The 25,411-nt window shown below is 38.5% G+C and overlaps 3 annotated features.

Moving 5' to 3' along the window:
• Positions 81-597: an enhancer, noted in NCBI's record as "NANOG-H3K27ac hESC enhancer chrX:28520815-28521331 (GRCh37/hg19 assembly coordinates)". NCBI's record gives its function as "activates a minimal SCP1, AML or CMV promoter by ChIP-STARR-seq in naive H9 embryonic stem cells {active_cell/tissue: H9 hESC(naive)}" and the evidence as "EXISTENCE:reporter gene assay evidence [ECO:0000049][PMID:30033119]".
• Positions 3,928-4,766: an enhancer, noted in NCBI's record as "NANOG-H3K27ac hESC enhancer chrX:28524662-28525500 (GRCh37/hg19 assembly coordinates)". NCBI's record gives its function as "activates a minimal SCP1, AML or CMV promoter by ChIP-STARR-seq in primed H9 embryonic stem cells {active_cell/tissue: H9 hESC(primed)}" and the evidence as "EXISTENCE:reporter gene assay evidence [ECO:0000049][PMID:30033119]".
• Positions 4,767-5,605: an enhancer, noted in NCBI's record as "OCT4-NANOG-H3K27ac hESC enhancer chrX:28525501-28526339 (GRCh37/hg19 assembly coordinates)". NCBI's record gives its function as "activates a minimal SCP1, AML or CMV promoter by ChIP-STARR-seq in naive H9 embryonic stem cells {active_cell/tissue: H9 hESC(naive)}" and the evidence as "EXISTENCE:reporter gene assay evidence [ECO:0000049][PMID:30033119]".

The following is a 25,411-nucleotide window of genomic DNA, read 5'->3' on the forward strand; positions in this document are numbered from 1 at the left end:
AAACAGGATTTGTGTGAGCAATAAAGCTTTTTAATCACCTGGGTGCAGGCGGGCTGAATCCGAAAAGAGAGTCAGTGAAGGGAGATAGGGGTGGGGCTGTTTTATAGGATTTGGGTGGGTAGTGGAAAATTACAGTCAAAGGGGGTTGTTCTCTTGCGGGCAGGGGCGGGGATCACAAGGTGCTCAGTGGGGGAGGTTCTGAGGCAGGAGAAGGAATTTCACAAGGTTAATCCCTCAGTTAAGGTGGGGCAGAAACAAATCACAACAGTGGAATGTCATCAGTTAAGGCAGGAACCGGCCATTTTCACTTCTTTTGTGATTCTTCACTTGCTTCAGGCCATCTGAATGTATACGTGCAGGTCACAGGGGATATGATGGCTTAGCTTGGGCTCAGAGGCCTGACATTACTGTCTTCTTATATTGATAAGAAAAATAACATAAAATAGTGTTGAAGTGTTGGGGCAGTGAAAATTTTTAGGGGGTGGTGTGGAGAGATAATGGGCGATGTTTCTCAGGGCTGCTTCGAGCGGGATTAGGGGTGGTGTGGGAACCCAGAGTGGGAGAGATTAAGCTGAAGGAAGATTTGGTGGTAAGGGTGATATTGTGGGGTTGTTAGAAGGAGCATTTGTCATATAGAATGACTGGTGATGGCCTGGATACGGTTTTGGATGAATTGAGAAACTAAACAGAAGACACAAGGTCCGAATAAGAGAAGGAGAAAAACAGATATTAAAGGACTAAGAATTGGGAGGACCCAGGACATCCAATTAGAGAGTGCCCAAGGGGGTTCAGCATAATTACTTGCTTGGTTGGCGAGTTTTTGGCCTCTATCCTTGAGTTTTTTTATGTTGTCATACACCAGGCCAGATTGATTTAGGTAAAAACACTCTTCATTTAAAAATATACAGAGTCCTCTTTTTCAAGTTGGAGGCTGAGCTTGGTGAGGTGTGTTTTTAAAAGACCATTAGTCCGTTCTACCTTTCCTGAAGATTGAGGACGGTAAGGGGTATGAAGGTTTTACTAAATACCAAGAGCCTGAGAAACTGCTTGGGTGATTTGACTAATAAAGGCCAGTCTGTTATTGGACTATATAGAGGTGGGGAGGCCAAACCAAGGAATTATGTCTTACAGAAGGGAAGAAATGACCGTGGTGGCCTTTTCAGACCCTGTGGGAAAGGCCTCTACCCATCCAGTGAAAGTGTCTACCTAGACCAAGAGGTATTTTAGTTTCCTGACTTGGGGCATGTGAGTAAAGTCAATTTGCCAGTCCTGGGCAGGGGCAAATCCCTAAGCTTGAAGTGTAGGGAAGGGAGGGGGCTGACACTGCTCTAATACTTTTAGAGGCCCTCAAAATCACAAACTATGCTCAACTCACTCTCTACAGCTCTCATAACTTCCAAGATCTATTTTCTTCCTCACACCTGATGCATATACTTTCTGCTCCCTGGCTCCTTCAGCTATACTCACTCTTTGTTGAGTCTCCCACAATTACCATTGTTCCTGGCCCAGACTTCAATCTGGCCTCCCACGTTATTCGGGATACCACACCTGACCCCCATGACTGTATCTCTCTGATCCACATGACATTCACCCCATTTCCCCATATTTCCTTCTTTCCTGTTCCTCACCCTGAACACACTTGGTTTATTGATGGCAGTTCCACCAGGCCTAATTGCCACTCACCAGCAAAGGCAGGCTGTGCCATAGTATCTTCCACATCTATCATTGAGGGACAGAAGTTGGAATGCTAGTTGCTTGTCTAACCACCTTATCAGCATAAGCGTTGTCTAGAGCAATGGGATCTGATGCCACACGGAGACATGATGGCCAGCCTAAAACAGTAAGGTCAAGTTGTTTGGACAGAAAGGCTACAGGGCACGGTCCCAGTCCTTGTGTAAGAATTCCGACTGCACAGCCCTGCACTTCAGCTGTGTGTAATGAAAAGGGTTGGGATGAGTCAGGGAGAGCTAGTGTGGAAGCAGTATCTAAAGCTGTCTTCAAGGAATGGAAAGAGGAGTGGGGAAAGGATTTAGGATCTATGGGGTCAGCTAGGTTTCCTTTTTTGAGTTTATATAATGGTTTTGTTAGGATGGCAAAACCAGGTATCCAAAGGTGAAAGTATCCAACCATGCCAAGGAAGAAAAGGAGTTGTTGTTTTGTAGAAGGGGTTGGGGTTTGAGAGATCAGTCGGACACGATTGGCAGGGAGAGCACTTGTGTTTTCGTGACGAATTATGCCGAGGTGGGTAATGGATGGAGAAGAAATTTGAGCTTTGGAGGGGGATACCCGATATCCTTTGAAGAATAAATGCTGAAGGACCAGGAGGGTGTGTTGTTGAGAAGATTCAAAGGAGGGGCTACAAAGTAGAAGGCCATCAATATATTGAATAAGGTGAGAAGCGGAGGGGTGGAAAGAAAGTAAATCATTAGAAAGAGCTTGGCTGAAGTAATGAGGGCTGTCCCTGAAGTCTTGTGGCAGTACAGCCCAGGTAAGCTGCTGGGACTGATGGGTGTCAAGGTCAGTCCAGGTAAAAGCAAAGAGAGGCTGGGATGAGGAGTGCAGGGGAATAGTGAAAAAAGCATCTTTAAGATCAAGAACGGAATAGTGAGTTGTCGAGGAAGGTATTGAAGACAAAAGAGTGTACAGGTTGGGCATTACAGGGTGGATAGGCAAAACAGTTTGGTTGATAAGGCGCAGATCCTGAACTAACCTGTAAGACTTGTCCGGTTTTTGGACAGGTAAAATGGGGAAGCAGATAATTTGATTTAAAAGTCTCGGCCTAATAAGGGAACTGGGCAGGTGGGGATAACTAAAAAAGAGTGCATAAAACAATGTTGTCCAAGTTGGCACCAGAGTGGGGGAGTTTTAAGGGGTTTTAAGCTTGGTCATCAGTACCCACAACAGTTATGGGGGCAAGGGAAACAGGCCCTTGAAAAGAAGATAATGTGGAGTGGGTAGCCCCCATATCGATTAAACAGGGGATGGACTTACCCTCCATCGTGAGAGTTACCCGAAGCTCGGCATCAGTGAGGGTCCAGGGGCTTCCAATGCGATTCGGCAGCATCAGTCATCAGCCACTAAGCCAAGCATATCTGGGAAGGAGTCAATCAGAGAGCCTCGGGCCAGAGCTTTAGGGGCTCTAGGAGTGGCTTCTGGGCTAGCTGGGCAGTCTGATTTCCAGTGGGTCCCTGCACAGATGGGACATGGCTTGGGAGGAATGCTGGGCTGCAGGCATTCCTTGGCCCAGTGGCCAGATTTCCGGCACTTGAAGCAAGATCCTGATAGAGAAGGTCCTGAAGGAACTTCTGACCGCTGTGGCTTAGACGTTTTGAAGTTCTTGTGTGCTGGAGATGTGGCTGGGGTTTCTCTCACAGCAGAGGCAAGTAATTGCAACTCTTCCCTATTATTGCACCCCTTGAAGGCGAGGTTAATTAAGTCCTGTTGTGGGGTTTGAGGGCTGGAATTTAATTTTGGAGCTTTATTTAATGTCGGGAGTGGATTGGGTAATAAAACGTATATTGGGACTAAGACAGCCTTCTGACCCTTCAGGGTCAGGGCTGTAAAGCATCTCAGGGTTGCTGCCAAATGGGCCATGAACTGGGCTGGGTTTTTCATATTTGATGAAAAAGAGCCTAAACACTAACTGATTTGGGAGAGGTAGGATAAAGAAAAAGGAGCATTAACCTTGACTGTGCCTTTAGCTCCAGCCACCTCTTTATGAGGAAATTGTTGGGCAGGTGGGGGAAGGCTAGTCACGGAACGAAACTGTAAGCCAGACTGGGTGTGAGGAGGGGAGGTGATAGAATGATTATAGGGTGGAGGAGCGGAGGCTGCCAAAGAATTTGGACCTGGCTCAGCCTGGCGAGGAGCAGCCTGGGGAGGAGGGGAGAGGTCAGATGGGTCCATAGAAAAGGAAGATTGGAAAGACTCAGCAACGCTTAGGGTTGGGACTGAGGGGATAGGCGGGAGGGAAAGAAGGAAGATTTGGGACGAGTTGCATTGGGAACAGAGACTAGGGAGGGACCAATGTGTAAAAGAATGCCTGGACGTCAGGCACCTCAGACCATTTGCCTATTTTACAAGAATTATCTAGGTCTTGTAGGATGGAAAAATCGAAAGTGCCGTTTTCTGGCTATTTGGAACCATTGTCAAGTTTGTGTCGGGGTTAAGCGGCATTGCAGAAGAAAATAAGGCATTTAGGTTTTAGGTCAGTTATGAGTTGAAGAGGTTTTAAGTTCTTGAGAACACAGGCTAAGGGAGAAGAAGGAGGAATGGAGGGTGGAAGGTTGCCTATAGTGAAGGAAGCAAGCCCAGAGAAAAGAGAGGGTAGAGACACGGAGAGAAGGGTTGGAGGCTGCTTGTCCCCCAGGAAAGTGGTGCTTGCCACTAAGGATGAAGGATCAAGGAAGGCGTCCCCGCGGTGATCAGACACCTCTGAAATGTGGGTGAATAATCAAGCAGGCGTCCCCGCAGTGATTAAACACCAAGGGAAGACTGTCTTCCCGAGTCTGTGCCTGGCGCTGGAGTTTTGGGTTCACGGATAACATACATCTCCTCTGTCTCTACCAGAAAAGGAAAGGAAAGGAACTGAAATTAAGAGAAGGGAGCGATTGAAAGATGGTGCCAAGATTGAAAGGAGAAAGAGGTTGAGGGATAGTGAGAGAGGTTGGAGAAGAGAGTAAACAGAGGCCGCTTACCGGATTTAAAATTGGTGAGATGTTCCTTGGGCTGGTTGGTCTGAGGACCCAAGTTCATAGGTGGATCTTTCTCACAGAGCAAAGGGCAGGAGGACAGTGGATTGATCTCCCAAGGGAGTTTCCCCCCATCCGAGTCACGGCACCAAATTTCATGTGCGTCCGTGTGAAGAGACCACCAAACAAGCTTTGTGTGAGCAACAAGGCTGTTTATTTCACCTGGGTGCAGGCGGGCTGAGTCTGAAAAGAGAGTCAGCGAAGAGATATGGGGTGGGGCCGTTTTATAGGATTTGGATGGGTAGTGGAAAATTACAATCAAATGGGGTTGTTCTCTTGCAGGCAGGGGCGGGGGTCACAAGGTGCTCAGTGGGGGAGGTTCTGAGGCAGGAGAAGGAATTTCACAAGGTTAATCGCTCAGTTAAGGTGGGGCAGAAACAAATCACAATGGTGGAATGTCATTAGTTAAGGCAGGAATCGGCCATTTTCACTTCTTTTGTGATTCTTCCCTTGCTTCAGGCCATCTGGATGTATAGTGCAGGTCACAGGGGATATGATGGCTTAGCTTAGGCTAAGAGGCCTGACAAGTACCTTAGTTATCATTACAAAGGAATCTGTGGCCCATAAAGTAGTTAAAATCTCTGCTCTGTAAGTACTTTGTCTGCTGGATATACCTTGGTACATGAGTCAGTTCTCTCTAGTATTATTTCTACTTGTTTTGTGAGTTCTATCCAGTCTGTAAAATAAGACTATAATATGTTTGAAGAGAGAAACTGTTTTATATGACTCTGTTATATTTCCCCAGCTCTTCTAATCCCAGTAGCAAGAACAGTATTAAAAAAAAATAACGGGTATCTAACAATCAATTTTTTTGTGCAGGTATGAGATTTTTAAAATAAGATTTAAAGTAGATCCCATGGATTCAAACTTTTCAAAGAAATTCGCATTTAGTTTAAAAATCCTTCATAAAGTTAAATTGGATTTGACAGAAAGCCAGCCTACTTATTACAGTCCCCTATATCCATGAATTCCACATCTGTGGATTTAACCACTGGCAGATAGAAAATATCTAGGGAAAAAAAAATGGATGGCTGTGTCTGTACTGAACAGGTACAGGCTTTTTTTTCTTATCATTATTCCCCAAAGAATACACATAACAATAATTTCCATAGCATTTACATTGTATTAGGTATTATGAGTAATCTAGAGATGATTTAAAGTATATGAGAGTATGTTCCATAGATTATATACAAATATTACACTGTTTTATATAAGGAGCTTGAGCATCTATGGATTTTTGGTATCCTCATGAGTTGAAGGGGAGGTCCTGGAGACAATTCCCCACGCATACTGAGAAACAACTGTACCTTAGTTATGTAGCCTGTTCTGTAAGAAATGCAGGCCTCCAAAACTGAGATAATCCTCATGGATGTATTATATAGCAAGAATCTTATGGATCAGAAAATACTTAACATACATGGGATGTAGGGCAGGGAAGACAGCAAAGAGTATAAATATATTTAGGGAGCAGATCAAGACAGAAAGGAAAAATGGGAGAAATAAACCTTTTAAAAGTGGAAAGAATCTAGTTAAGAGAATTAGACTTCAAAGACTGTACAGCATAAAAATAGAAATAAGTTAAAATAGATACCACACTTTCTTTCTTTCTTTTTTTTTTTCAAGACAGAGTCTCACTCTGTTGCCCATGCTGGAGTGCAGTGGCGTGATCTCGGCTCACCGCAAGCTCCGCCTCCCAGGTTCACGCCATTCTCTTGCCTCAGCCTCCTGAGTAGCTGGGATTACAGGCGCCTGCCACCACGCCTGGCTAATTTTGGTTTTGTGTTTTTAGTAGAGACGGGGTTTCACCGTGTTAGCCAGGATGGTCTCGATCTCCTGACCTCGTGATCCGCCCCTTCAGCCTCCCAAAGTGCTGTGATTACAGACATGAGCCACCGCGCCCGGCCTGATACCAAACTTTCAAATTGGAAAATTTTGTACTGTATATCATCAGTTACTTCTGTATTAATCCATAAACACAATGTGACCTTAATTAAAATAACAACAGAATTTGTGGAAGTAGTTTACACAATTCCATTATTTATTCAACAAATGTAATTGAATATTTAGTTCAGGTACTGAGCTACTCTAGAAAAAACAATGGAATTAAAGTATGATTAAATGACAACTCAATTGTGCAAAAAGGACTGATTTTCCAATAAATGGTATTGGAAGAACTAACTAATCTTTTGAGGAAAAAAAGTGCTGTATCCCCCATGCAACCCTTCAAAATAAATTTTAGATACATCAAAATATAAAAAGTAAAAACATTTCAAAATATTTGAAAAACATAAATGTTTTATGTTTCTATTATGTATGTATACTTATAAATAATTATAAGATATCAGTATAGTGAAAATTTTTGCCATTATGGCACCAGCCCTGGAAGCTGTAATTGTGAAAATTGACAATTTACTAAATAAATGTTTGCCGTATCTCCACGACACAAAATAGCATTAAAAACAAAGCAAAGAGAAGCAAACAAAAAAATGCAAAAATATAGCAACATACAGTATAAACTTCCTTAATGTAAGTTAAATCAATAAGAAAAGAGAACTCGTATAGAAAAACAAGCAAAATAAATTGTCAGGCAATTAACAGGAAAAGAAATATAAATTGCTTGCCTAGAAAGAAATGAAGAGAAACTTAACTTTTCTAAGTTTTTAAAAATGCAAGTCATAACCGTAATTATTTTAAAGTAATAAGATGAGAAAACTGTAAAAACTTTGATAATAACCATAGGGAAATCATAAATTTGGTAGAATCACAAATATACAAATCTTAAGTATCAAAAAAATTTAAATATATGCTGACTTTTTGTAGAACGATTTGTAACTATTACAAATTTAAATACACTTATCTTTTTATCCAAAAATGTCTAGCTAAAACTTTTATTCATGTTTTCATGTATTTCTTATGCTACTGACATTGATGTCTTCTTATACATATACTTGCATGTTATATGTATAAGGATTCCTTTCAGATGCCTATAATATGAAATAAAATAAAACAAACACAGTGGGCTACGTCAGATAGAAGTTCGTTTCTCCATCATGTGAAAATAGTTTCAAGGTGGGCAGCTGAGAATTTTTACGGTGGTCTCCTGGTCATCAGAGACCCAGGCTTTTTATACCTTTCTATTTTATTATAACTAACATATAGTTTCCATTTTCAAAGTCACTTCATGGACCAAAATATCTGCTGTGATTTAGCAATATCACATTTGCTCTTACTTGCAGAAAGAAGAAAGGGGAAAAGAACACACAAAAAAATGTTTATCCAGGTAAGACAGCTACCTTAAATCAAAATCAGGATGCTTCTTGATGCACTTAATAAAATATTTAACCAAAAATTGCTAAAACAATAGGTGTGGTTTTCTTACATAGGAAGAAGACCAGAGATAGTTGAACCTAGAGTTTTTCAGTAGCTCAGTGATGTCATCAAGGTCCCTGGGCTCTTTCCATTGTTCCCAAGACACCATTCCTCAGAATTCCCTCCATGTTTCTCCATCATGATTGCAAGATGGCTATTGTAGCTCCAAGCCTCCTGTCCTCACAAGTTAGCATCCAAAGCAGGGAGGAAACAAAAAAAGGGGAATTATTCATCACATGCCGTTCTCTTATTAGTGAGAACTGCCTTTTGCAAAAGCCTTGGCAGTCTTTTCCTCAGCCTTTCCCTGTATTACATGAAAGGCTGGTAGATAGGGTATCCTAACACTTTGAGCCTTTACCGCAGAGAAATGGTAAAACTAGCCAAAAAGAAAGAGGGAAATGAAGGTTGTTGGTAGGCAGCCACTAATGTCTGTCACACATGCTGTGAGAAGAAAGAGCTAATAGAAAGATTAAATAGGTATTGGAGAAAAGGCAATTATAGATCAATATCTCAAAGGAGAGGCCCTGGGATTCTCTCTAGATTCTAGGGCACTGTTGAAGGAACAACTCAAGACAAGGAAGAAAGAAAGAAATGAAGATGTATGAGTTATTAATAGTCAGGGTAGGAAATTGAGTATGTTTTCACCTGAGATGATCAAATAGGAAAACAGAGATAGGGAAATTAATTCTCTTTTGGGAAAGTACTGTGCAGCAACACTTTGAATGCAGCGCCAAACAAGCTCTATTCAAGATAGAATTTTCTCTAGAATTCAGTCCCTCTAAGCAAGTCTTTTCCCACCCTGAGGACACTGCCAGGCATCCTTCCTTGTTCCACTTCCAAACAGGGCACCATTTTAAGAAATACAGTGTCAATAACTGAGTTTCATGCTGGGTATTTCTATGATCCAAAGCTATACCTAGGACAAGAACCTGAATATGTTACCACTCATTTCAGAAAACTCCCTTTTCATCTGCTATATTTAAATGACAAAAAAGTAATATATAACTTTGATATTGTAATATAAACTGTAGGAGGTGAAAAAAATGGGAATATTACAAGTAATTAATTCAGTTAAAATCCTCTGAATTTTTCATCGACCATTTCTATATTTTTTTTCTTTTACCCAGGAAATTTCTGATACATTTCTCCTTTCATTTGATTGGTTGGGACAAGTAAATATTTGAAAAAGTAAATATTAGTCTATGTATACAACAATCGCAGTATAAAACTGCAACAATAACCTCTTATGGATGAAAATATAGCAAACCAATCCTATATTGCTAATATTTGTGAAAATGTCATGTTTAATATTACCTTACCCTTTTAAAAATAGAATTTGTCAACAGAAAAAAATTTTTACCTTTATATAGTGATGTTGAATTATAAATGCTTTGGACATAAAAAACAAATACTTTGAAATCATTCCTTGATATTTCACATTTTTTCATAATTATATCATAATCACAGGCTGATATTAACTATAATATGCTTTCAAAATGGGGGATTATTCTTCATTCAAATGATGGTTTTCTTCTTAAGACAAAAATGATGCAGCTAGAGGGTTAAAGTGATCTAACTTAGAATGTTGCTTAAATTATAAAAACCCCATGGGACAAAAAAATTCCAAGGGCCCATTTATTCTAGAGTTTGGGATAATGGGCCTGTTACTCTTTCAGTGCTCGTTTCGGGAATTAAACATAGTAATGTAGGAGTAAAGCTTCTTAGTTAATTTGTAGTCTGACTAATTGTTTCATGGTATTATGAGTTCAATGCTTTGATGAATAGGAACACAGCCAAATGGTTTTCAGAAACTACTTGCTTACAGCATTTAGTGCATTTATTGTAGACGGGTCCTTGTGAACTAGTGAACAGAATAGAATTTGTGACATTCATCGATTTAAAGATGGTCAGTGCAAATTGACCACATCGATCCTCATCCTATTAGTGATAGTTAAAGCCTCATTTCTACTGAAAAATTTGCAGAGATATCAATGACTTTATAAGGAGGATGTGATAGAATATTTAATATTTACAGCTGTATTTACAGTTGAGATAATAACCATTCTGCTTTAGATAATTTAATTTGCATTCATTGATAAGAAAGAGTAATAGGCAACTTAACTATTTGGTCTGTTTCATAGACAAACAAATAAGAAAAGAAGGAATTTGTGTTTTTCTGAGAAAACTAGTGACACAGATTTCTCTGATTTTCGAATTCAGTGGCAACTCATCATTCCCAAAAGTTGTCATTCTCAGGTAGAAAGACTTTATTGAGAATTATTATCTTCATGGTTACATGAAGATACAGGTGATGCACTAATAAGAAAACAAATTATAGAATTATATATTTGAAGGTTTTTCCCTTTTCCAAAAATGGCAACACATTTCTATGGAGCCATCCTTAAAGTCTTGATTTATTACAACTAAAGTGTGATTCGTGGAGTTAGTGATATTATCAGTCACTACAAAACAGAGTGTTTCTCTACCTGGAAATAATTAGAAGCTTTGAGCCTGACTGTCGTGTCTGTTGAACTTTTTTTACATCGTTGCAAGAACGAAGATATACTCATGTATTTATGTACAGGGTGGAATGGGGAGGGTTGGTCAATGGGTAAAAGTTTACAATTAGATAGGAGGAATAAGTTCTGGTGATCTATTGCACAGTAGAGTGACTATAGTTAACAATAATGTATTGTATATTTCACAATAGCTAGAGGAAAGGATTTTGATTGTTGTCACCACAAATAAATGATGAATGTGTGAGGTGATGAATTTGCTAATTACCTTGATTTAATCATTATGTAATATATATATATATGCATCAAAACATCACACTTTACCCCATAAGTCTGTACAATTATTATGGGTCAATTAAAAATGAAATAAAATTTTAACAAAAAGAATGTACAGGGAAGATGGTAAAATTAGATGCCATCTCAGAGCCAGGCCTGAAGGGAACTGAAGCCTTCTTTACGACCATCATTTAGCATACAAGGAAAATCCAGAGGCTGGGACAGTTTTTGGCAGGTTTTTGTTTTTGTTTTTGTTTTTTTTGAGACAGAGTCTCGCTCCGTCACCCAGGCTGGAGTGCTGGAGTGTAGTGGCATGATCTCGGATCACTGCAACTTCCGCCTCCCAAGTTCAAGCAATTCTCCTGCCTCAGCCTCCCGAGTAGCTGGGATTACAGGCGCATGCCGCCACACCTGGCTAATTTCTTTTGTATTTTAGTAGAGACAGGGTTTCACCATGTTGCCCAGGCTGGTCTCGAACTCCTGAGCTCAGGCAATCCGCCTGCCTCAGCCTCCCAAAGTACTAGGATTACAGGCATAAGCCAGCGCACCTGGCCACCTTTTGGCAGTTCTATGGCAGGTCTGCAATCCTCCTTACTCAGGTGATCTGCCATGATGGTGATCCAACTACTGCTTATGCTACTTCTGCTCTTTCCATTCCCAATTACCCTCTTCCACTCTTCTTTCTATGTCATGGCATCTTGTGTTTCAGGCATTTTTACATTTTCTTCCCACTGCCAACTCCCATGTCTTCATGTCACGCAAATTCTAAGAGTGATGATTTCATGTTTATAGACAGTCACTCTCCCTTATAAAATATTCATGCTGTACAAAGTACTTTTTCTGGCTTTCTCACTCATGATCCTGATCTTTTTTCAATAAATTATGGAGTAGATAGATGATCAGCTTTCTCAAAGAGAATCTGGTTAGCATGAATGCTCATGGTTGATAGAGTCCTCTCCAAAAATATACTTTGGTAAATCACATTTAATCTGGTTTAATATAATAACTGAGTTAAAAATTGAGTTTCAGTGACACAGTATAATCTCAAAACAAAGTCATTTATCTACCATCTCCTATATCTATGGGAAATGTATTCTTCTTCGAAGCTTTCATGCTTCATTAAAACCTAGGTATTCCAGGAACATCCGCTGTCTAAAAACAAAATACTATTGAAGCACTTCTGCTTTTATTCAGGTATACACAGATTAGATCAGCAAAACACCAAAAATATTTAAAATCAATGAAAACATCCATCAGTATTTCATCATCTTCTAGCCAAAGACAGCAATTATTCTTTCAATGTATGCAAACACATTTCTTCCTTTCCACCTTAGTAAGTTTGCTTTATAAGACTAATTGATGGGCCGGGTGCGGTGGCTCACGCCCGTAATCCCAACACTTTCAGAAGCCAAGGCAGGCAGATCACCTGAGGTTAGAACTTTGAGACCAGCTTGGCCAACATGGTGAAACTCCATCTCTACCAAAAACACAAAAAATTAGTCAGGCTTGGTGGCACGCGCCTGTAGTCCCAGTTACTCAGGAGGCTGAGGCAGGATAATTGCTTGAACCTGGGAGGTGGAGGTTGCAGTGAGCCAAGATTGTGTCACTGCATTCCAGCCTGGGCAATAGAGCGAGACTCTGTCTCAGAAAAAAAAAAGACTGAATGATGCCTCAGTGGATGGCCAGATTAAAGATGAAAGCATGAATCTCAAACCACCAATAACCATGTCAGCTGAACAGTTCAAAATATGACTGAGGCATGGACTTCAGCACTGTTCTTTTAAAGTTATTTCTTATTTTGTGTGCATCTTTTGGATTGGTTTTCAGGAGGTAGAGGTAAACAGATTCTTTTAATGTACCTTTTAAACTTGATCATACATGTACGTTATACAACATTTAAATGGTACAAAAGGCTATACATAAGTAAGTCTACAGTTGTATTAATCAGCTATTGCTGCAGTATTGCCATGTAACAAACCATGCCAGAACTTAGTGACTCACAGCAGCAATCATTTACTTCTCTCACTCACAAGTCTAAAAATTGCCATGGGCACCTCTGCTTCAGACTGTGGGCTGTGTGGGTTTGGATCTAGGCTTTGAGTAAAGCTTGGGGATAATCCACTTATGTCATTCTGGGGGCCAGGCTGAAGGGGCTATGGCTCCTGGGAGCATATTGTTCCCATGGCAATCACAGAGGTGCATGGCCAAGTCAGAACTGCTAACGCACATTTATGATCCTTACTTGTGTGGTATCTGCTATATCCTATTGCCAAAATAAGTCACATGGCCAAGATCTAGTCACCAGGGCAGGAAATTATATTCTACCTTTGAGGGGAGAGGGCATGGGAATGAATATTTGCTGAATAATAATCTAATCCACTTTGTTTCCCAGTCATAGAGTTCACCTCTGAATATAAGAACTGTCACTCATTTCTTGTTATTCATCCAGAAAAGTTATATGCAAATATAAGTATACTCACAGATAAATATTTTAATACCCAACGGTATTATACTGTATACCTTGACCCTACCTCCCACTTAATGATATATCTCAGTGAGTATGTAACTGATATAGCCAGTTTGCTAGCTTACTCTAAAAGTAGCTCCTTCCTCCCTTCGTTCCTTGCTGCATATGTATCTAATTACCTGTTTGCTTGAGAATTCCAAAAGCTAATTTTGAAACGATCCAGAAATAAAGCAGAGGTGGTTGTTGCAATTTTCTCCCTTGGTGCACAGTTAATCCATAACTCGACCCCCACTGAAATGATGCCAACCAGGCCTCTGGATGGTCCATTAGTCAAGACAGCCATTGGAAAATGACAAGCAGACCTGCACCCTACGCCACTCCTATGCATAGTTTCCATGACACCTTTCCTCTTAAAACCCCTTTAGATAGCTTGAGGATTTGCAATGGCTTTTTGAGACTAGTCTGGCCAGCTCCCAAGCTGCTGGCACTTGAATAAACCTGCTTTGCTTCCACCCAACCTCACTTCTCATGTGTCTGACTTTTTGAACACAAGCAGCCAAATCTGAGTTCAGTTACAAAAGTATTCCTTTTCAGTAGATATAGATTTCCTTCATTTCATTTAATACAGCTGTTGAGTATTACATAAAATAAACAGATGATGATTTATTTAACAAATTCTCTACTGGTGGGCATTTAGTTTGTTTCCAGTCTTTTACCATTTTAGCCAATACTGCAATGACTATCATTTGATATATTTTTGCGTGTATCTGTAGAATATATTCCTAGAAGGGATATTGCTAGTTCCCAGGATTCTTGCATTTTTCACTTTGATAGATTTTTGAAATTTTCATGCACAAAAATTAGACAATTGAAACTATCACAAAAATGTGAAGGAGTACCTGATTATCTACACCCTTAGCAACACAAATCAAATCATTTTATCTTTGCCAAACTGATAAATTAGAAAACAACTATTGTAATTTGAATTTGTATTTCACTTCTTATGTGTGAAATTGACACATTTTCATATGACAAAGAGCCATACCTTCTATATATGGCAGATCTCCCTCGCCTATTGGGTCTTTTTCCAGAAACTCCCCTACCCCATCCCATAGACTTGCTCAACAGTTGGTGTTAGATAACCATACTTTCATCGTACTACATCATGTCCCAGGGTGTGAGGTCCTGAGGCAAAATCGTGTAAGGGCACAGAAGTAAGAGAAAACCTCTGACCTGCATTTTACATGCCTACATTAAATCATAGGACACTCAAGACCAGACATTTTATAAGCTTTGACAATTATTTAAAGTGCTCTGTATAATGTTCTAGAGATGAAAAATAATAACTCTTGGCTCTTGGAGGCAGCAGTAGCTACCACAGCTGATGAAGACAACAAGCAAGCAGCCCTTTTTGATCAAAAGTCCAGAGCAACCTACAAATGCCATGAACAACAAATGACGAACTCCAGTAATCAGTCCTACCCACAGGGTTCATACGGTCAGATCCATAACCTCAAGAACAAGAGAAGCATAGCAGGATTCAGCCGCCAAAAAACTTTGTGTTCCTGAGAGAAGGATTCTTCATAATTAATAGTACTAAAATTAACTATGTACTGACTACGCATATTTAGTTAATTGTACTGTGACCCTCTCGGGTAATATTTCTTCTTTGAGAAAATTTTATAGACACATTAACATTTTTATTCATAATAACCTGAAATTATCCATTGAAACACTAAATAAGAGCTGAAGATCATGAACTCAAAAGGCTCTGTTATAGCTAAAGTTATAACAGAAGCTACTGTAATGGATAAGAAAGTTAGACTGTAACCAATTATGTTTAACCTTTAATGAAACAACTGTAAAACTTACTATGACTCACTAGTGGCTGATTAAGAGGTTTGGTTGTCAGCACCAGATAAAAAGTGTCTAATCTCTCCCAATATTAGAGCTACAATATTCTAACCGCTTTACAAATAGCTTCTGCAATTCACTGAACACTCGTTATTGAATCTTCCAAAACCTTCCTAGAATTTTCTCTTTAGAGGTTTATTCTAAATATTCTCTTTAATGTCATACGTCTTTACAGAGAAATAGTCTTTAAATGGTAGTCTTTGGTGACTATGGCAATTCAACCAATCTGATGCGGATAGAAGCCAAAAAAGACCTACTCATACTAAACTCTTTTCTCTGAAAAATACAGTACTGTGTGATTCTAATGCGTTCAGAGTGTTTCTCTTTTGTGCTGATTCCAGGCAAGAGTTGACAGCATCAAAACTGTGAAATCTCTAGCAGCCCTCCCTCAGAGACTTGGGGTCCTGCTTCTGAAATTTAAGGCCACTACAGCTAAGTGTCACCCTTTCCTCAAGTAGTAAAGACCTAGAAGACCTAATACAACCTCCAGTGCCTTTGCTTTTTTCCTTTTCTAAACAATTAAAACTTAAAAAAAAAATTATGTCTTCTTATCACGGATACCTTTGATAAATATACCAACTTAAATAAGAACTTAATGAATGGGAAACACCAGAAAATGCTGAAGTGTTTTTTCTTGTGCTGTCTTTATGGTAAATTGTTACCTGTTTTGATTTAGATCAATCTTCCCCTCATCTCTGCAATTATTAAAGATTCTTCTTGCTCCAACTGTTGTGATCCCCTGCTGGCCTAGCTGTTTCAGGGCAAAGCATCAGAGTGTGGATCCAGCGAGGTGTCAAGTGTCCAAATAAATTAGCAACTGTTATGCTATGTCTCCACTTGAGACAGTTTATATCCAATATATCGTGCACAATTGAATCCAAATGAAAATCACCTACCCTCTAAGGCAAGAAAATGTATTTATCCAAAGCTTTCTCTCACACCCTCATCATCATTGAAATTTCTCATGACTAATCTGTTCAACCAAAAGAGTAGGAACTCGAAAACATACTGTGTCACTCAATATCACCCACCAATCCATACAGCAACTGAAGTTCCTTGAATTATCCACTTCTATATGGTCTGCTCCTGGAAGCATCCTTTTCCAAGATTTAAGTATTATAATTCAATCTATGGGTAAGGATATTCTCTGACTCCTTTGTTTTTGTTGAAGCTATCAGATAACTGGCTCCTCTTTCCCTCAACTGGCTTTGTAATTTCTGAAACTGGCCTTTCCAACTCAGCTCATTTAAACATCATCACCTTTTTTATTCACTCTAACATAGTAAACAAGGTCTTAAAAAAGCACACATTAGTTTCTTCTCATGCTAATGAATTAAATGAATTTCATGCTATTTATAGAAAAATTGATATTAATTTTCTGATCTTGTTTCACAAATTCATTATCAAAAGTAAATAAGATGCCGGAAAGAAATCAATAGTTCTCATTTTGCGATATTTACATATTTACAAACCTAGAAGCTTTTTAATGAACTTGCTTAGTGCTATCAATTCACAGATATATTGTAACTCAGGCATCAATGATACTGTTAAGTATCCTAGCATAACCATTGTTGACAACTATAAATAATAACTATATATAGATTAGCCCTTACTCCTTCAATTCTGAAGATAATACACAGGTACTAGTATAATATGGTTTGGCTGTGTCCCCACCCAAATCTCATCTTGAACTGTAGTTCCCCAAATCCCCACGTGTTGTGGGAGGGACCCAGTGGGAGGTAATTGAATCATAGAGGCGGTTACCTCCATGCTGTTCTCATGATAGTGATTGAGTTCTCATGAGATCTGATGGTTTTATAAGGGGCTTTTCCCCCCTTCACTCTGCACTTCTCGTTGATGCCACCATGTGAAGAAGGACATGTTTGCTTCCCCTTCTGCCATGATTGTAAGTTTCCTGAGGCCTCCCCAGCCATGCTGAACTGTGAGTCAATTAAATCTCTTTCCTTTATAAATTACCCAGTCTTGGGTATGCCTTTATTAGCAGTGTGAGAACAGACTAATACGTAGTATATCCATGAAATTTATGGAGAATGTGGACTGAGCACAAACTATGAAAGAAGAACATACAGTTATTTTATAGGCAGTAATATAAGCTTAATTTGTCCTTCTGAATTTATGGGGCATTAGTTCCAGGACGCTCTATAAATACCAAAATCCTCAGACGCTTAAGTCCCTGATGTAACGTGGTGTAGTATTTGCATCTAACCTGAACACATCCTCTTGTATATACCTGAAATCGTCTCTAATTTACTAATATAATGTATATGCCACATAAATAGTTGTTATGCTGCATTGTTTAGGAAGTAATGACAAGGAAAGAAACGTCTGTATATATTCAGTACAAATGCAACTATCCTTTTTCTTTTCAAATATTTTCGATCCATGCTTATTTGAATCCATGGATGTGGAACTCATGGATATGGAGGGCTGGCTGTACATGTTAAGAATTTAAAATATAATCATTAATCTTTACAAGAACCTTATGATATAAAGGTATCTGTGTTTTACTGATAAAGAAAATGAAGCTCAGTGAGGTAAGTGACTTGCCTAATGTCACATAACTAGAAAGTGAGTGGGCTAGATTCTGTAGTAATGGTCCCCCAAAGAAGCACATCTCCTTATATTAAGGATACCAAGTTTTTTCTATTTTTTTCTTATGTTGCTTATGCTTTTGATGTCATATCTAAGAAATCATTGCCCAATCCAAAGTCACAAAGATTTATATCTATTTTTAATTCTAAGAGTTTAAAGTTTCAGCTCTTCCATTTAGGTCTATGATCCATATTGAGTTAATTTTTGTATATGGCATGTTTAATGTTTCAACTTCATTCCTTTGCATATGGATATCCCGTGTCAGCTTTCGATGCATGATGAAAACTTAGTGGCTTAAAACAATAAGCATGTATTTTTTTCCTCACAAGTCTGTGAGGCTTCTGGGCAGTTCTGATCCTAGCTGTCTTGCCAGATCTCTGCAATTAGCTGGAGGCTTTGTTGAAGCTGAATGTCCTAGGATGGCCTCACACATGTGTCTGGTGGTTGTCAGGCTAGTTCATCTAGTGCACCTCAGCTGCGATGGCTCATCTCTGCAACAGACTTTTCCATGTGGTGATTCATCTTTCAATATACTAGCCTAGACTTCTTCACATGGTAGACTCAGGTTCCAAGAACAGCAGAAGGCAAGCTCAAATAAAAATACACCTTTCAAACCTCTGCTTGTGTTCTGTTTGTTAATATCCCATTGAATAGGCAAGTCATATGGCCAAGCCCAGAGTCAATGTATGCTAGTACACTTTTGCTACAATACTGACGCCTCAATCCTGGGTATTACATAGTCATACCAAAAATTCTGGTGTTGCCAGTGTATATCTCCACAACTACCATAGTTATTCTTTAGCATCCAATGCAAAAGAATGTATTAGAGTGTAATTCCTCATGTCAGTGCCACCTGCTAGTGCTAGTCTAGTTCTCAGTTGTATCCCTAGCACTTAGACTAGTGCTTGGCACATAGTAGGCGCCAAATGGATAACTAAGTGAATGGCTTTACAGAAAAATTGAAGGAGAACAAAAGGGGGTCTAGTTTCATCTATTAAAGAATGATCTAGTTTAAGCCTATGCCCCATGCTTACGTCAAATGCACATTGTTCCTGTTTACTTCATGAGTTAAAGACTGAAAAGAAATCCTTGGTAATCCAGTATACCTGACACATTTTTGTACCCTTCCGTTTTGTGCTGGCAATATTTTCTTAGTTTTATTATAATTACCTTAATGATAAGATTTTAATTATTCACATTTTGGCTGCATTTTATCAAATAATACAATCTCATTTAGGAAACAATTCCCCAAAACCATACAGAGGCTTCTTTTCTCTGTTTTCATTACTTCAAAGGTTTATCTTAACATTCTGGTGACATTAAGCATCAATGTAAGGAAGTGAAATGTTAAAATCTTCATATTTCAGATTTTTTAAAATATGCGTGCTTGCTGCTAGAATTGGAGAATTATAAAGAAGTAGAAGCATTACTGCTCCTTAAAATCCATTATTCTGATTTCACCTAGTGCTCTCTTCTACCCAATCCGATAGGGTATGGGCCCAAGAGAAAAGTGTGAGCCATGACCCCAAATAGATAATTGCCTCCTTATTCCTGTTATTCTGAGATTTGGCACACATTGGATATTCAGGCACACTTTAAGAGTGTACTAAGAATCAGCCTCAATACAGTACAATGGTATATTCCTATAAATAAAAGGAAATCATTCTGAAGGGGCAAACTTTCCAGAATGCCACCGTTGTCAATGATAGGGTGGCTCCGTTGGATATCAATGAACACTATAACGGCAAGTTAAGTACAAATCTTAGGCGAAGTTTTTGAATGTTATAATTTATCATTAGAGCCATCCCCAATTTTTGTAGTACTACATAGTGATCAAAGCATTTTCATGTCCATCATCTCAAACTTGGTTTATAATAGCCACCTAATATGAAATTTATTTCTGTAGACTTTCTTTTCATGTGTTATATCATCTTTTCTCCTGAGGTTCTTTATAGACAGTTCCGTCCTTGTCATCCAATAGATATCTGGGTATCAAGGATTCTCAACAATATTTGGTATGATGTTTGCAGAATTTTTTTTTGAAAGTAAGTGCCTCAGACTATTCATCATTTCACAGCTATCTTAGATCCATACTGGCACATAACTTAGAAAGACATTCAGTTCTATTTCTCAATAATTATTGTTGTTTAATATCTCACTCACCATCGGCACCACCTTTGCCTTGTCCATATCAAGGGCACCCACAGATAAAAAATTTTAATGATAAAGAAATTACTTCTAAGTTCCTGTTCTATATATTCAAAAGAATATTTCTTATATTTCTAAAGTATTTTAAAACTTAAAAGTGTTTTTACATATATTACTCATCAGGCATATGTGCTCTGAGACATAAAATTGTAAATACATTGTGAATTGCATCACCTTCCTAGCCTCAGTGTCTCCCAACATAGACCTGACCTTCCTAAAATTGTTGATGATCTCATTTATATTATTTGTGTTACATAAGGTACTACACCACATTGTTAAGAAGATGATTTGATTTTTTTAAAAAAGCATATGATTATTCTTTTATAAAATGTTAGGTTCTGAATAGCTACTTGCGATATACTAGTATTTTTTTTTAAGTATGGATCATGGAACAGATATATCAGAACCCTATGAATAAGTGTTTTAAAACTTTAATATGTAACACATACCTGGGTTGATGATTGCAAAGCAGATTTCTGAACCTACCTCAAAACCTACTAAATCAGAATCTCCGGAAGTGGAGCCAAGACATCTGAACTTTTAGCCATCTGAGTGACTGCTGTTCATCTCAAAAGGCTAAGAACTATTGCCTTACAATGAACTTAATTTTTCTAGGGTTTCCACTGCAACTTAGAAGAAAGTTCTGTGCCTTTAGAAACTCCAAGAACTCGTTAAGGCAATTAGCATACCATTTAGCGAGTAATTCAAACTTAAGAAAAAAGAACAATGGGATTTAAATTATCATCAAAACATACTTCTGTGCAGTGCCCTGTACCTGGTGCTCTAAAAACTGCAGAAATTGATACAATTTCATAATAAATATTCAATCTGTAATGACGAGCTCTGTCAATCTTAGAAAAGATAAATGTAGAGTTTAATTAGAAAATAGATGTCTCTCTGAATGTGAGGTGAAAGCTGGATAAAATGCATTTCTGTCTGCCTCATAAGGTACTATTCAAGATATGTCATTGTTATAATTTGAAAAGTATTATTCAGGAAGAAGACAGATTTCAGTTCAGCAGATTTGACTGTCAGAAGACCAAGAAAGCTGAATGGAAAAAAGCTAAGTCACAGTGATCAAAACTTAAAAATTATCACGTATCTTGAAAATTAGCTAAAGAGTTATAGCCAAATCTCAATTTGCCTCTCAACAAAAAGTTAGACCAGGGAATCGTCACAATATGGGAGCCATTTTGATTAATGTAAACTTAAGTAAGGAAGTCTCTATTCCATGGTGCTTGGCTTGTATTGCTTCTTCATGAATTATGTTCTGATATTTTTAGATCACTGAAAGTGTCAAAATAATATTGAGTTAGATGCACTTTCTTCATGTCTTTCATGAGTTTAAAACATCCGGTTCTCCACAATGGCAATCAACTGACATCTATCTCACTCTGGAAAATAAAAATAAAAATTGTGTCCAGGATGTTCCTGGAAGGGTATTGCAAAAAAAATTATCTGTGAATCTAGCATGCAAGGTTAGGTCAGACCCTGTTAGCTGAGGGGAGTAAGGAGCAGGTGTTTGGACCAAGTCTGGGGAAGACTGGGCCAGACAAAGGGTAGAAGTTTAGATTTCTCAATTCATTGTACGTAACAGTTAACTCTTACCACAATAACACTTCATAACAACGCAAAACCTCAGTGGCCTACAACAATTAAGTGTTGATTGCTCACGTGTCTAGAGTTACCTGCTGATCTTGTCCCCGTTGGGGGAAAAAGTGCAAGAACCCATTTATCCTGACATTGTCAGAGGATCAGCTGTCTGTTGGTTGATATAAGCTGTCCTCAGCTTGGACGATTGGAGCAACTTGGCTTAGGTCTGTGTTTCTCATAATGCAGAAGGTTAATCCAGGCATATTCTTATAGTAATGGCTAAGGTACAAAAGAAAGCAAGTGGAAATATGCCAGGGCTCTTGAGGTCTAAGCTCAGGACTGGTACACAATCATTTTCACCATATACCGTAAGCCAAAAGCAAGTCATAAGACCAGTACCAATCGAAGGGGTGGGAAAATAAAGTATACCTCTTTAATAAGAGGAACTGCAAAGTCTTGTGGCAAAAAAATAATGAATATAAGAATTGAATTCATTAGTACAATTTCTCACTGTGTGAGATATTGAGTTCCTTTCCTCTATAGAGACCATGCTATGCAATATAGATAATAAGAGGCATAAGGTCTGATAGTGATTCTCAAACATGGATGGCTTATTAAAACTCAAATTGCCAAACCCTTCCCCTGGAGTTTCTGTTTCAAGAATTTCAGGGAAGAGCCTTAGAGTTTGCATTTCAGGTGAATTCCTAGATGATGTGGATACTGCTAGCCTAGGGAGCACATTCCGAGAGCCACTGTTCTGTGGATCTAGAGTTAGTAAGAACTTATTAGGATACTTTAGGCAACAAAGTATTTATAGGAAAGGCAATTTGAAGTGAAGTGAGAGAATTTGAGTGAAATCATTTCCTAGATATCCAAACAGCTTGTTAAGAATAAGCAGGCAGATCAGGGGCCATTGCTTCTTTCTTTGCACTATTCAATTTAACTATCTCAGGTAGCCAACAAACAACACAAGGGTTGGGAATGAATGAGTAATCAATTGTCTGTTGAAAGTTACACACAAAACTCTACATTGACAAACAAATTTTGGTGTCATTATTTTATTGGAAAAAAATAGTTAAAATAAGGTTTTGAGATGTCCATCACACTTAAAGTCAGTGAAAACACGCAACTTCTTCTAACATCAAATCACAATGAAACAATGAGTGAATGAGGCCTTAATTTTGGGGCAAGCAGAAAAATGCTATTAAATTATTTTGGGGGAATTGGTGAACTACAACCATTAAAGATAATGTGATTAAATGTAACATATGTTTTTTTTTTTTTTTTTGAGACAGGGTCTTCCTCTGTCGCCCAGGCTGGAGTGCAGTGGTGTGATCACAGCTCACTGCAGCCTCAACCTCCCAGGCTCGAGCAATCCTCCCACCCCAGCTTTCCGAGCAGCTTGGACTATAGGCACACGCCACCATGCCCAGCTAATTTTTGTATTTTTTTGTAGAGACAGGGTCTCGCTATGTTGCCCAGGCTGGTCTCAAACCCCAGGGCTCAACTGATCCTCCTGCCTTGGCCTCCCAAAGTGCTGAGATTACAGGCATGAGCCGCCATGCCTGACTAAAATATAAAATATTGAATATTGAGACCTACCCGAGGTTTAGCCTAGCCTGACACAATAGTTAAGTTCTAAGCAAAAATAAAGTTATTATTAGACGAGTGAAAAGCAGATTACATTTTACCAAAAATATGTTACTTTTAAAAGTGTGCAGGCAAATATCAAAATTGAATCAGTATTTTCAGACCACTACCTTTGAAAGTATCCCTAATCTTATACTAATTGGAACAAAAAAATGAGAACATGCAAAGAACATATGAATTCATTCAATATCAACATTATTAGTGTCTCTAAATGCTCATATAGAAATTGGAATTAATACAATAGAGAAGGCGCCAAAAGAGAAAAAGGCATCTTTTCAGGCATTTAAACCTTTTTTCATTGATACCCAGTCCTTAGAGTCAATCTATTATTTTTTTTTTTTTTTAGATGGAGTCTCGCACTGTCGCCCAGGCTGGAGAGCAGTGGCGAGATCTCGGCTCACTGCAAGCTCCACCTCTTGGGTTCACGCCATTCTCCTGCCTCAGCCTCACCAGTAGCTGGGACTACAGGCACCCACCACCACGCCCGGCTAATTTTTGTATTTTTAGTAGAGACAGGGTTTCACCATGTTAGCCAGGATGGTCTCGAACTCTTGACCTCGTGATCCGCCGGCCTCGGCCTCCCAAAGTGCTGGGATTACAGGTGTGAGTCACCGCGCCCGGCCAGATTCAATCTTAAATAGAAAAAAGTGTTTTATAACTGAACTAAAGTCTAAAAACAAACTCTTAGAATAAATATAAATCTGTTATGCAAATACAAATTTGAATGGAACACTTTACAAATTTATTTAATAAAGTATATTTGAGTATGAATTTAATAACATAGTTGTCATTAAATGGTATTCATCTGATAATAAATACCCATTCACATACTTTAATTCAAAGTATGTGGAACTAAAATCCTACAAGACAGTAGTTTTGCCCCCAGCTGGATTGATACAGTGATATCTCTCCCTTTATTATCCTTAATTCCCTAAACCACACAAATACATAGAAAATTTGAGTTCCAGTTTGACCGAAATGATAAGAAGGCTATTATAATTTCACACTAAGGTTATTTTTATCTTTTTGTCGACTTGAGTGTTCTCCCTATGAAGTTCTCCACTTCCACCTCCATCTACCCCTACATACAGTAAAAATGGACCCTAAAACCCAGGAGAATTGGTAATTATTTTCTTTATAGTGGTTATCATATAATAATGGTTTCTCATTTGCTTTCTCGTGTGAACCAAAAAGAAAAGCTGCATGAGAGCATCTCTAAGAACAGCAAGTGCCTTTTTAGTTATCTGTGAAGCCTTGTTTTAAGTATAAGTAGAGGGAAATCGTTGGAACTTAGTAAAAGGAAATGTGTATGGAAAAAAATCTTATCAGTTGAGAAATATATATACTTTCCTTCTCATCTATCAGAATAGGAAAATGAATTTAATCAGAGCTGGGGCTGGAGGTTGGAGGCAGAAATGCAAATAAAGGAAACAAAATTCAGCCAAGTTTCTTAAATACCTTTTCCCAGTGATTTGACAATATGGATCTTCAGATAAATACAGAATCTTACTTAAAGGATAAAGATAATGTTGGTTTTTTATTAGACTTTTCATAAAAGCTACTTTTCTAAGTTATTTTGACCTCAGCAATAAGAATTTCAGAAAGTGGTGGGATTAAGCTCCAGGGTTAAGCTGCTGATGTCTAGACAACTTGGAATTGAATTCAAATAGAAATCAGAACCCTCAGGTAAAAAAGTTAGCAAACTGGTTCCATTTTTTTTAAAAAAAAGAAAAGACTATTAGAGTCATAACTAAATGCACTTTTTCTTCAAAAGAAGATAATTATCTATTTGTAGCATATGAATTTCAGACTACAGTGTCTTGATTTAATGCACCCAGCACACTAGTGAGCCAAAATTCACCAAAATCCAACAGAAATCTAAATTAAGTGAGAATAATGTTTTCCTGAGTATTCATTTCAGAATTTATTTAAATCTAGCCCAAATGTGCCATACTTCTTTGGATGTATTAATTAGATTCTACTGGAAACCAGCTGACCCCAAGTTCTCCCCTAGGTATTTGGTTGTAATACAAAGTTATACCATTGTTGAAAAC

The sequence above is a fragment of the Homo sapiens genome, chromosome X (genome assembly GCF_000001405.40).
Source record: "Homo sapiens chromosome X, GRCh38.p14 Primary Assembly".
Taxonomy (NCBI): Eukaryota; Metazoa; Chordata; class Mammalia; order Primates; family Hominidae; genus Homo; species Homo sapiens.